A 13,617-nucleotide genomic window follows, 5' to 3' on the forward strand; every position below is an offset into this window, starting at 1 on the left:
TTATCAGCAATTAGTTCATGAAGTTTGTATCCCTGGAAGTTCAATTTTTCATTTAACAATCATTTGCCAAGTTAGCATTTTACATTTAAAACTGCTGTGACTATTCTATTTACTATGTAGACATTGAAAATCAATGAAGGATGCTAAAATATATATAGCCTGTAACTAAAACCAGTTGTTAATTTATCAACATAAAAAAGTTTAAATACTACCATGTAAATGAAAAATATATTAAAATAACACGTTATATATAAAAAGTAAAATATAATGCACAAAACCCAATGATTTTTGTGATCAGCAACCAAATATGTGTATCATTCGCTTTTCCACATTTTGTTTGAATTTTATTTCAAGGTTGAGTTGCAGCATGTTCCAGGATAAATAATGTAAGATCTTCCTTAGAACTTAACGTATGGAAGTGAAAATATTGTGATTTTTGGCTTCCATTACAAACATCATGTCAATAAACTTAATAATATTTCAATTTAAAAATTCTGAAAAAACTTAGATTCATATATACTTTTAAAAAGATTATAAATGGAATGCCTCTATGAGAATTCTCTTTTCATCATAAGAGTGCTAAAGCATATTGAAAGAAAAAGGGTTAGATGTGATTTATAGACGTTTTCTATCAATGACAACATAGCTTCTTGCATAACAAGACAGTTCTAAGAATTAATCCCAGATTTTCATATCTGTGTTTAAAAAGGATACAGAAGTTGATAAGAGGGAATTGAAGTACAAAACATATTAAGATGTTAAAAAAAAAAAGAAGGAAAAAAAAGAGGTTGTAAGAGCTTGGTGCTCATGACCAAGAAAATTACATGTATGGATTCTACGGAAATCCAAAAATTTGAATTTCTCCGCTTTTTTCATTATATTTGAGGGATGGTAGAAAGGAACTACCAACAACAATGGTAAAATAAAGTAATTATTTTCAAAGCTAAGGGCTTAAAGTTCCAAGTAATATGCTAGTTGAAATTATAAATGAGACAGTTTGTAAAAATGGAAAATGGAAATATTATTATGGCCAGCACAACTTTACAAAAGTAAATCACTTTAAACTGAATTCATTTTTTTGATAGACTTATTAGCTTGGTAAGACAAAGAAATAGAGTTGAGATCTGTATATTTCACTTTAATAAGACAAACTCATAAATGAACATGATATATAAAAATAAATATTTGGGGAAATTCATTGTAGAAGGATTAGACTGGTCTGCGTGGCTAAAAGATTAAAATTTGGACTAGTGAGTGAAAATCAAGGCTCACTGTAATGAAGACTAGGTTTTCCACAATAAGATCATGATCAACTAATCATAGCTCAAGTCATATAAGGTCCTCATCAGTGGATGTGTTCAAATACACGGTCAAATAATAATAATAGAATAAATTTGTGCTGTAAAAGAATCTATCAGTTATCTATTGCCATGACTGTTGCCAAATGTCTTGTATATACAGAACATGTCCTGTATTTAATGATTTTTATCCTGTGTCCTGTTCTTACTTTGACGAGATACCCTAAATATCCTTTATTTAGCTTGTGTTGAAAAAAATTACAAAAAAAATTAGAGAGCAATGTTTCTGCCACAGTAAATGGTGTTTAAATCACTTAAATGCCAACAGTAGTTGAAACCAATACTCCACAAATGAGCTCAATTGCAATTCTAGACAACACACAGACTGCGTTGTACTCCAATGACCATGTTTCTGAAACTCAACCAGTCAATAGCAGCCTTCCTCCTGTTACCACGCTAACATAGCTGAAAGCATTGAAACCATGCCCATTTCTGAAAGTCCACCAGTCTCCAAATAGCAAGCTTTTCAGAACCTTATAGAAGATCAGTTCTGGCTTTGTAGTCATACCTCACAAGTACCGTTCTCTGTTGAGGCAAACAGGAAGTTAATTATTTTTTGCATGAGATATCAAGTTCATTTATTGTTAGTTTTCAAGCTTGCAAACGTTTAATGGTTCAATCGCTGATTACAGTTGGTAATGAGTTTGCATTCATGAGTAATAGACACACTGTTGTGGCTGTAAAACTAACAAATGAACTCTTTCCAATTCATGTAATGATTACTATTATTTACTTTTATGTGTGCATATTTGTACCCAAAATGCAAGAGTAAATTTTATGATAAATTATCTGAACAATAACATTTATTAAAATGCAGCCATAAAAAAGGATGAGTTCATGTTCTTTTCAGGGACATGGATGAAGCTAGAAACCATCATTCTCAGCAAACTAACACAGGAACAGAAAACCAAACACCGTATGTTCTCACTCATAAGTGGGAGCTGAACAATGAGAACACATGGACACAGGGAGGGAAACATCACACACCAGGGCCTGTCGGGGGTTGCGGGGCTAGGGAAGGGATAGCATTAGGAGAAACACCTAGTGTAGATGACGGGTTGATGGGTGCAGCAAACCACCATGGCATGTGTATACCTATGTAACAAACCTGCACGTTCTGCACATGTATCCCAGAACTTAAAGTATAATTAAAAAAGAAAGAAAGAAAAGAAAAAGAACTCTTGAAGCTCATTGAGTAGTATGCATTTGTTAATTCAATGTTGAAAATAATGGAAACTTAGATATAAGCCAGCATTTTCCAGCTATATCTGCAACTAGTACCAAAGTGATAAATAATATTTTTTATGAAGATAAATTCAGATAAAGAAGATAAGTTGGAAGAAGTTGGAAGAAGATTATCCTTCCATATTGGATATTTTCAACAGTCTTTCAGCCCAAATGGCTAAATGAACTACTACTGAAAGAATTTTCTGATTCCCAAACTGCAAGAACATTTTCAAGTGCCCAGATGAAATCTACCGCAATTAAAGAAAAATAAGTACTAACTCCAATTACTATCACAGAGATTATAAAAAATATAAATGCCTTGCCTTTTTACAGCATAACCATGGATGCAAGTAATCACAATACAGAAAACAATTTTCCCTTGGTTCATACACAATTTTTCTTGTGAAAAATTCTTGCTTATAAGATGAAACTTAAGAAACAATAGAAAATTTTGCAGAAACACTTAGTGAAAACAAATGTACTGCCACTGTATAAAAGTGATGCAAGTATACATTTGGTGAATGTTTGCTTAAAGGTAAAGACAGTGTTTCTTCAAAGCCGAAGCTAAGCATGAATGATTCTGTGAAAGGTGTTGGCTATCTTGTCCATATTCTCATTAAGCTCTCAATTATCATTAGATATTTTTATGTTGAAATTAAAGTAATTGTTATAAAATTATTCTCTTACTTCAGTGTTTCTTCTGTTTAAACTGAATGATTTACATTGGCGGTATTTTTTAATTCTCTCACATTCAAACCCTGATGACTCTCTTTAACAAATGTAGTTGAGAGAATCTTCAGTTTTTTTAAATCTCTAAAATCATATTTCACTTCTGAAAAAAAGGCCTCCAAAATTATTGTTGACATTTTAAATCCATTAAGTGAAGTCTAGATAAACTCTTTAGCAAAATAATTATGCAAATTAAAAGAAGAGTAAACAGTGTTATTGAAGTACTCCTTTGCTTAAACTAACTTCTTGAATGTGGTAAAGAAAGAATTTTGAAAAATATATCAATTTAGGTGTGAGAGCTATTTTTAAAGCAGGCAACATCACTTACCAACAGGAAAATAAGCTCTGATTTGATGTGTAAAATTATTCAGATATTTCTCATGACTATCTTTTGAAGTAAATTTAATTACATTTGATTTTGAGTAGATTTAATTAAATAATTTAATTCTTATATATGGATGCTAGTAAATACTATTACAGCATGAAAACACGTGAAATAATCATGTGTATTGTTGAAGACAACAATGTTCTTTTTGTTAATGGACAGCCTTTTAAAAATATATTAATCAAGATATGCAATGTAATTCTAAAGAATAAAAAAATTAACATAAAAAACATTTTTATGTGCTTCAACAAATCAAATTTGAAAATCATTTATCACAGTTGTCAACTTTCCCCAGTATGTGTTCTGCAAACCAACCTATAATGCTAATGTTGCATGCATTTTCTCATTAATGCTCAATGAATCAAATAACAAAATAAGTTAGATTTAACTATTGTAGAAGCTATGTTACAATGTAAATGGAACATAGACTGCAACTACAAAAAATCTGATAAGCAAATTATGCAAAAACAAGGAACTGTTTATTGAGCCAAATCATGAGAAAATCATAGTTTAAGAAAGAGGTATGTAATTTAAATACTTATAATTTATTTCCAATAAATAAAAAATAATTTTTAACATTTTATGTCAATGTAATATATCTTATTAGAAATAATTTAGATTTACCTGGGCATCCTGAATTTTACTTATTAAATATAGCAATCCTGATTGCCACAAATGACAACACCTCAGTGCCATATAACAATGAAAACTGTTTTTCTTGGGAATTGTGAGACTGCAGGTCAATTGGATGGTGCTGCTCATTTGAGGCAGGCTTGGCTAGTCTTGGCTGGGCTTTTTCCAGCATCTACAGTCAGTCACTAAAGGTAAGGGACCAGCTGTTCAGGAATGACCTCACTAGTCTGTATGGCTGACAGCTAACTGGTGACTGCAGGTATGCAGGTGACTGGGCTGCACGATTCACATTATTCTGCAGGATAGCTTTGACTGGTTCGCATAGCAGCTAGGAAGTTTTCAAATAAAAACAGGGCAAGCACACAGGTCTCTTAACTTGCATACTATAAATTCCACTGCATTCTATTAACCAAAACAAGTCCCAAATTTAATCTAAACTCAAGAAATAAGGATATCAACTTTACTCCTTGAAGCCACTGCAAAGGGCATAAATATATAAATAAATGTAGAATTGCGGTCATTTTTTAAATCAGTCTACCACACAAGGATTCAAGCTGTTTAGCCCTAAAAACTTTTTTTTCCTTGTAAGTCCATTCACTTTCGAATTTTAAAACATTTTTGACTGAAAGGTAAATTGAATATAAATTAATGCTTTAAAAATTGACTTGGCTATTAATCACTGATTTTGAGCAAATTTCTTCACTGGTATATTTTATAATGTTAATTTCACATATTAAATAAAGACTATACAACCCCAATATTTCAAACATAAGTAATATGATTTGAGCTAAATGCTTTTTCTCTTCTATTTTTTAGAAATTACTTTTCTACGCACTTGTTTTCAGTCTAAACAAATGCAATCCATTCAATCCTAATGTGTTCTCCTTATGGGCCTTTCCTTACAGTTTCCACAAAAATTTCTTCATTTTTAAATATAATAAATAGGAGAAATTTTGATAAAATGCCCCGTTATCTCTCAGATTTTTTCTTTGGCTCTTCATCTCTTAGACGTATGTAATAAAATATGGAAAGATTATGATAAATAAAAATACATGGTCAAATAATCTAATCAGCAGAATGTATGCAGAGCATAGTGGGGAGTAGAGGTGGCATTCTATATTTTCCTCTCTGGCTCCAGGAGATACCTCATAGATCTTGTAGCTTGAAGACTTTTTTTGTTAATGTTATTTACACTCCCACAAAAAATGAATATCCAAAACTATAAGGGAAAATAAAAATGTTTCCATTCCTGGTAAGACAAAAAATATAATACAATCTAAAATTACATTTTCCTTTAAATCATGATCTTAAATGATGTTTCCCGCATTTCATACATTCTCTTGACTTGTTTGTATTTTCTTCTATGATTAGACACAAAATCAATAGGACTAAGTTCTATAAGTATGTAGGTGGGACTAAAAATTTGCAACTTCTGGTGAACTTAATAATTAACAATTAGGCATTAATCATCAAGTATTATTTTACATAGAATCTGTGAGAATTCTATTTAAATAAGTAGCAGTGGCACTTCGATATTTTTTCTGTGTTACATTCTTTGGATAACAAAACAAATAAGATGTAAAAAATGTCACATTCAAAAATTGACCAAGCAGATACTTAAATACAGATGCGAGATGATCTTGAGGAATGAACCATTGCCATCACCATGTATTGAAACCAATTGGAAATGCATCAGCTAATGTCTAAACTGCATGTGATTTAAAATCTATACATATAAAAGTTGAGATCTGTGTATTATTTAATAAAATAACATTTCTTGTTTAAAGGCATGTAATTTTTTCTAAAACAATGGTTATCATCTTAAGAAGACTGAAGGACCTTACTCCAGAAATTTTGATTTTGTAGGTCTGCAGTGGTGCTTGAGAATTTGGTTTTTTAACGAGTTCCCATGTAATGATGCTGCTGCTGTTCCAGAGACCAAACTGAGAATTCCTGATTTAAGAGAGACTGGGGAAATAGTATAAAAATGATATCACCTGTTATTTCTGAGTATTAAGTCTACCGCCTCTTCAGATAAATTATTCTCGTTTCTAAGCAACTTAATAAAATTATTCTAGTTTCTAGACAACTTAATAAAACTATCAGTACCAATCTGAAAATAGACACTACTATTAAATATTACATAACCTAAGAGAATATTTTAACCTTTTCCTTATAGCAGGTTGACATACTATCTCTAACTCATTCTTACTTGATAATTTCAGATATTTGGCACTCTTTTGAACTTCTATATTTAGGTTATAATTTAATTTAAGTATTATCTCTAGTTAACAAATTCCACTTTTTTAAAGGGTTAGGGAGGTATTTGTGAGCACTCTTGCTACACACAAATATCTATTCATATCAGTTGTTCTCATTGCTCAGGGAGAACAGTTTTGCCACCTCTTCTGTACACTCAACACAGGAATGTACATATTATAAACACTGAAGTCTTCTCAGTCATCATAGCATTGGATTTATTCACTCGAGGATTTGGGAAACAGAAAAATGTCCATGCCTACTCAATTTTATGTCACCACAGAAGGTCTTCTTGGGGAAAACTGGTAGTATCTTTCCTATGGCCCACCATTAATTTTAGTCTTTTCTTACATCTCACCAGTCTGAAAATTATTAAGACAGTGAGCGTACTTAACTCTGAAAAAACCAAAGTTATATAAGCATGTTTATGTTTCTATAAAATGTATGTATGAAAAATCCGTAACTCTTTTTGTAGCTTAGATTTCTGCCACAAGAATGCTTTACTTTTCCTTATGAGGGGCAAACTAAAAAGCAGTGGTTTTCTCGCATATTGAAGTTAGACTGTTTTCTCAGCAAAAATACTCAATAAAGAAATGTAAATTGATTTTATTCCATAAGTACATACAAAAATTATATTGATTTAATATCTATTCCCATAGAGAAGTAGTTTGTTGGGTGTCTGGAGAGTCTGGTGGGGAGAAAGGTTATTCAAAAAATTGTTTCAGCCAAAATTTTCCTTCCCTTTTTTTTCTTTAAAAGGAAAGCATTTAGAGAAAAGTAAAGTGCAGCAAGGGAGTTGGCCCAGTTGCTGCAGGCTTCACCCCTAGTGAATGTTTTATCTACAGAGCTCTTGCCAAGTTTCCTACTGTCAAAGAAGCCCTGAAATATGAACCTTTAAGTCAATTCATCAGAAAACAAATATTACATATAAATTAGTTTGAGGAAAAGAAAATCATATACATTCTTTAACTTCCATAGTTATTTTGAAACAAAACAAACCTTTTGCCAAATTATGTAGCAAGCACACATAATTAGTACATTTTAGGTCTTAATATTGAATTTATATTTCTAGATTAGATTGAATTAACTTTGTGTTTCTCAAGTTTTCTAGCTTTATATATTGTAACTTTAAAAATACATTTTAAACGCTGCATTTATTTCTAGAAGGTTTTGATAAAGACAAAAGAAATTTTTGAAAGTTAGTATATTATACTAGAGGGACATATTAAAAATAGAATGAAAAACAATGGAATTTTCAAGGGCTATTGACAAATAAAACTTGTAGTTTTAAGTTTTTCTTAAACTTTTTAAAAAGTTTTTGCATTAATAACAAATGAAATATTTTTCTTGAAAATATTCCATTTGGCAGAAAACCCAAATCTACAGAACAACTATCACTATTATGATACCAGCTATGAAGATTTTACTCTCTCTGAATACACGGAGTTATGTTAGTACTTCATAATCCCCAACATTCACACAGTGGGCACTACATTACAGGGAATATTGTAAGCATTTTTACATGTATTAATTTTCCACTATCCTATGTATAAGTGACTATTTTTTAAATGAGTAAAGTGCATGGAAGTTAATTAGCTGAAGATGATATAAGTGTAGTTTACATTATTTTATTTGTTGCTATTTAAAATCATAATGTGCTATGCACGGTAAACATGGAGATCTGCTGTTCAGATTCCACTAAAAAGAAGTAGTAGGCACAGCTACTAGAAAGGCACTGGGAAGGCAGACAGCCTTCAGCTGGCAGTACTTACAAGGACTGCCTCAGTGCAGAGAGCAGCACCTTCCCCAGGGTGGTCTATATCCAATGAGTAAAGAAGGAAAGGGTAAAAACACTGGTCATTCCATTTAAGATGGGCTAACTCTGCCTGTCTGTATTAGCTCCAGAGGCTATTGTTAGGCTTACGTTACACTCCGACTACTCCTTTTATCCCATCCTGCTTCCCTTCCCTTCCTTTCACAGGTATTAATTCCAAGAATATTTCCTAATAAATATCTTGCACATTAAACTGCATCACAGTACCTGTTTCCCAGATAACTCAACCTAGAATGATATTTCTGCATAATAATTAAATACATTTGCATCTATGTTACACATTTCTAATTACTCTACATAATATTGTAATAAACATCCTTGTAATATATTTATAGATATTGGTGAAAAATTCCTGTTCAAATGTGTCTGATATTTTTTATTTGATGCCTAATTTTGCTTGAGCTTAGGATTATACTTCTTATCCTAAAAACTCATTTTCATATATTGATTTACATATCTTGATTCACAACAGCTCTCTAATTATGTATTCCTACCAGGTCTAACAGCAAATATTCTAAGATTGATGGTTTTCTATTTTCTATAGTGCTGTATCCTCCAGTAATAGTGAGTAACCAGTATTACCACTGCATCAACTCTCTAAATCACCTTCCCAAACTCCTGAGTTAGAAATCCACTACAAATGTTGCAATATTTATTTTCATAAATCGTTTCTAACTGTTACGTAGACCTTAGGGCCATTTTAATTTTCCATCAATGATATAGGTGCTTTGTAATTTCCCTCCAGCAAAATAACAATGCAGTACAATTTTTCTTGCTTACTTTTTTGAAATGGATGTAATAGTGTAAGATATTCTCTTTAACATTTTCCTATTTGATGAATTGAAGAGGTTCAGGTTATTGAAGAGTTAGTTATCCAGTACAAAGATCATTCTCCTGTGTACTTCTATTACTACTTTTTAAATATTTCATTGTTCTGTAAATCCTCTACTTCTTTTTGAGCTAAGAAATGAGTAAGGGAAACAGGAAACAAGAATTCGAGCTACAGACAGAAGTTCACCTTCCGATAAAAAAATTTGGTGAAAGGACACAACAAAATCCAAACAATAAGTAAAAATTAATATTTGAGATTTCTCAATGACTTTTTATACACACGACATATATCCATTATTGGGACAAATATCCCATTTAAGGTTAAAATAAGAAATATATTTATATTTTATATCTTGGACAGACAACCAGACTTTTAGAAAAAAATACTGAGAACTGTGAGTTTTCATAATCAGTTAGTGGCAGAGATAAGATTTGAATGGAAGTATCTTGGTTCCTAGCCCAGTGTTCTGCCATTAGCCAATCAATGTTGCACAGGCTATCTAGACATAATTTTTTATTTGCTCTTCTATACAGTATAAACTAATAGTTTTTTTAAAAATTTATAAAAATATTTAGGCAGATATTTTTATATGGGATGATCTACATTTCTACATCAAAGATGTCACCACAAACATAATTCATGCTAAAATTAGTTTTATTCTGTGTTGTAGACAGAATTCCCTCATATATATATTTGTCCAAATCCCCAAAACCTGTGAATATGTTATTTTACATGGCAAAAGGGACTTTACGCATGTGATTAAGATAAAGGATTTTGGGTGAGGCGATTATCCTGGATTCCCAGGTGGGCCCAATGTAATCACACAGCACCTTAGAAGAGGCAGAAAGTTTAAACTCAAAGAAAAAAATAAGGAGATATCACAGTGAAAGGGAGAGAGAGAAAGAGAGAGAGGAGAGAAGAGATTTGAAGATGCTATGTTTGCTTGATTTTAACCCATAGAGATGCATTTTCAATTTCTAACTTCTAGAATCATAAGATTTGTTATTATTTTTAAGCAATTAAGTTTTTGTTAATTAGTTAATCAGCAATAGGAAGCTAACACTCTCTGCTTGTCTCTCTGATATACTATGCAGGTGCATGAGATGAGTAGCACTAGAATAGCTCACTTTTGTTGTTATGCTTTGAATGGAGATAAGTATTTGTCACAACTCCACAAAATTTGGGGTTAATTTTTCCTGTTAAAAAAAGTTTGAGAAAGCAAATTTTGCATTTCTAACAAAAATTACTCTGAGATTTTTCATGAGCATTAAGTAGCTCTCAACTACATTTACTTACCACAGTTTGGAAAAACAATTACCAATATTTATAGGAGAATGCTTCCATCATTTAAAGTGCAAAAGAAGTTTGGATGAGCAGGTAATGTGGTGGATGCTATAATGTGCCTCCAGATTCTCCTTCTGAGAAAGAGTTGCTGCACTAGCTTCTGGGGATGCTGACAACAGAAAGTCTTCAGCTGTCAGTCTCTTCAGGGATTGCCTGAGCTGCAGGCCACCTCAACCAAGGTCATGCCCTTTCTCACGGCCGCCCACACAGAAAGACTGGTCCCTGTAAGGAAATAAAGGACCAGCATCTCAGCCCAAAAGGAGACAATGCCAAAGATCATTCTAACACCTAAAGCTCCGACTGGGGTCAGCTGCAACTGTCACTAGCTTGACTTTTCTCTCTACTCACTCTTGCTTTCTTCCCTTCCCTTTCCCAGGTGTTGATCCCAAGAGCCTTCCTTAATAAATATTGTGCAAAATAAACTCCTCCTCAAAAATCTACTTCTCCTAGAATCCAGACTAGAAGAGACAAGGTTCTTTGAAACCTGGTTCCACCTGTGCCACTAAATATTTGTGAGTTGAAGAACAAGTCATCCTTTCAGTTGCTCAGATGACACATCTATAAGATGAAAGAAACAAAACACACTAAAACCCTTTGATTCTTCTCTCATTCTAATCTCACATGAAAAAAAATAAATACTTCTGCTCTTTTAATGCAGCTAATTCCAGTCCTCTTTTCTGCTAGACCAAGACCATTTTCTCTCTCCTTAATACACATTAATTTGCCTCTTATATTAGTAAACATCTAGGATATACATCTTGGCATTCTCACTTCTTATATAGTTTATCCCACTCTACACTGCTTCCTTAGCCAACTAGAACCTACTGCTACTACTTTTTCTGATCTTCCTTCAAAAGTCTCATGATGTGTCCTTTAATATGTACTCCATGGGGACACTGTTACTTATACAGTTACATATATCGTCTTTAAAGAAAGTCAACACTCTTGCACTTGACTCTGCCAGAGACAAATTCTGAGTTTACAGGATGAATAAGTCAGTGACTCCAGAGAGATTTGTGGATGTTTAGTTTCGCCCTTGCCCTGGTCCAGACTGAAATAAAGTTTATGTTTCTCGGTTAGAGAATCAGGCATTTTTCAGTTAAAGTTCCTGAGAATTAAAAAGAATTTAGGGAAAAAAAACAGGCTAATCGGATTCCCCCAAAATTAATTTTAGGGCAGCCAAGAAGGCCAGTTAAAAATAGCAGCAAAATAAAGAAAAAAAGCCTGACTCATTATGATAACTCCTCCTTTCTTATCCTCTTAATTCAATGTGTGTATGAAAATTAAGAAAAAAGAACTATTTTCCAGTCTCACCTAAAATAATTTCTAAAAATAAAACTGTGTAAAACCTAGGGCATTATAAATCTACTTGAACAACAATTCTTAAAGTTGCATTTAAGCACATTGAAAAGCACGAATACTGGGCGAAGCCAAGATGGCCAACTAGCAGCAGCGTGATGGGAGACACTCACCAAGGAGAACCAAAGCAGTGTGCGAATCCTGCACCAGCAACCAAGGTATCCAGGTTCTGTCATCAGGACTGATTAGATGGTTAGTGTGACCCACGGAGAGGAGAGAAGAGCAAGGTGGTGCGTGAGCCACACAGGGCAGGGGAGGCCCTACCCCCAGCCAAGGGAGCTGGTGAGTGAGAGTGGTACCCAGCCAGGGAAACCATGCTTTTTCCTTAGAACTGTGCAACCCACGGATCGAAAGATCCCATTGGTGAGCCCACGCCACCGGGGCCTTGCGTCCCAATCACAGAGCCTTGCAGATTCTCAGCCTCCTCTCAGCTGGAATCTACCTAAAACAACAGGGCTCCCTGAGGGAGGGGCAGCCATCACCACTGCTGCTGCCTGCTAAGTCAACTGAGCTCCCTGGGGGAGGGGTGGCAGCCATCACTGTGAATGTTAGCTTCCTAAGACACTAAATTCCCAGGGGAAAGGGCAGCAGCCATCACTGTATCTCAAGGATGCACTTTTCCTCTGCTGGAGCCGGGGAAACTGGATAGCTTGGTCCAAAGAGGTATTCTCCCACAGCACAGCACACTGGCTGTGGCACCCCATGGCCACACAGCCTTTTAGGCCAGACCCTGACCCATTCCTTCTCACTGGGTGGGAAGCAGGAACTCCAACAACTCCAGCGAAGGGCTCAGGGACAGAACTCTGATCTCCCTGGGCCTGAGCTCCTAGGAGAAGGGGTAACCATAGCCTCCATGGACCAGCAGACTTAGTCTTTCCTCCTGCAAGCTCTGAGGAAGCTGGGCAACCCTGACAAGTGGGTTTCCCCCCAGGGCAGCACAACTCGTCCACCAAGGGACAGCCAAAATGCTTCATTAAATGGGTCCTTGTTCCCATGCTCTCCAACTGCATGAGAACCCCCAACAGGGGCTGCCCAACACCTTATACAGGAGCATTCCTACTGGCATCATGTCGGTGCCCCTTGAGGTCAGAGATCCCAGGGGAAGGAGGAAGCACCTGTCTTTGCTGTTCTCTAGCCTCCTTAAGTGACATCTCTAGGTGCAGGTGCAAGAGTGACCCAGATGAACAGGGCCCGAAGTGAACCCCCAGCAAACCCTACAGAAGAGAGACCTGACTATTGAAAGAAAAACAAACAAACAGAAAGCAACAACAGCATCAACCAAAAAAAGTCTTCACAAAAGGCTCATCCAAGGATCAGCAGCCTCAAAGATCAAAACTAGACAAACTCATGAAGATGAGAAATAATCAATGAAAAAATGCTGAAAACCCAAAATGTCAGAATGCCTCTTGTCCTCCAAATGATCGCAATGCCTCTCCAGCTAGGGTACAGAACTGGATGGAGGATAAGCTAGATGAATTGACAGAAGTAGGCTTCAGAAGGTGAGTAATAACAAACTTTGCTTAGGTAAAGGAGCATGTCCTAACCCAATGCAAAGGATCTAAGTACCACGATAAAAGGTTATAGGAGGTGTTATCTAGAATAACCACTTTAGAGAGGAACATAAATGACCTGATGGAGGTGAAATACACAGCACGAG

The 13,617-nt window shown here is 34.6% G+C and overlaps 1 protein-coding gene across 2 annotated transcripts in view; it reads right to left on the reverse strand.

The window, feature by feature from the left end:
- Window positions 1–13,617, reverse strand: part of HMGCLL1 (3-hydroxy-3-methylglutaryl-CoA lyase like 1) — a 244,547-nt gene that overhangs the window by 162,383 nt on the left and 68,547 nt on the right. The window contains exon 1 of one of the 2 annotated variants that reach the window (XM_047418904.1): window positions 10,554–10,573. The exons of the other annotated variant lie outside the window; for it this stretch is intronic. The gene's annotated coding sequence lies outside the window, so the exon portion shown is untranslated. Of the gene's footprint in view, window positions 1–10,553; window positions 10,574–13,617 lie in introns of those variants that run through there. 2 annotated transcript variants of the gene reach the window in all.

This window comes from Homo sapiens, chromosome 6 (assembly GCF_000001405.40).
Source record: "Homo sapiens chromosome 6, GRCh38.p14 Primary Assembly".
Lineage (NCBI taxonomy): Eukaryota > Metazoa > Chordata > Mammalia > Primates > Hominidae > Homo > Homo sapiens.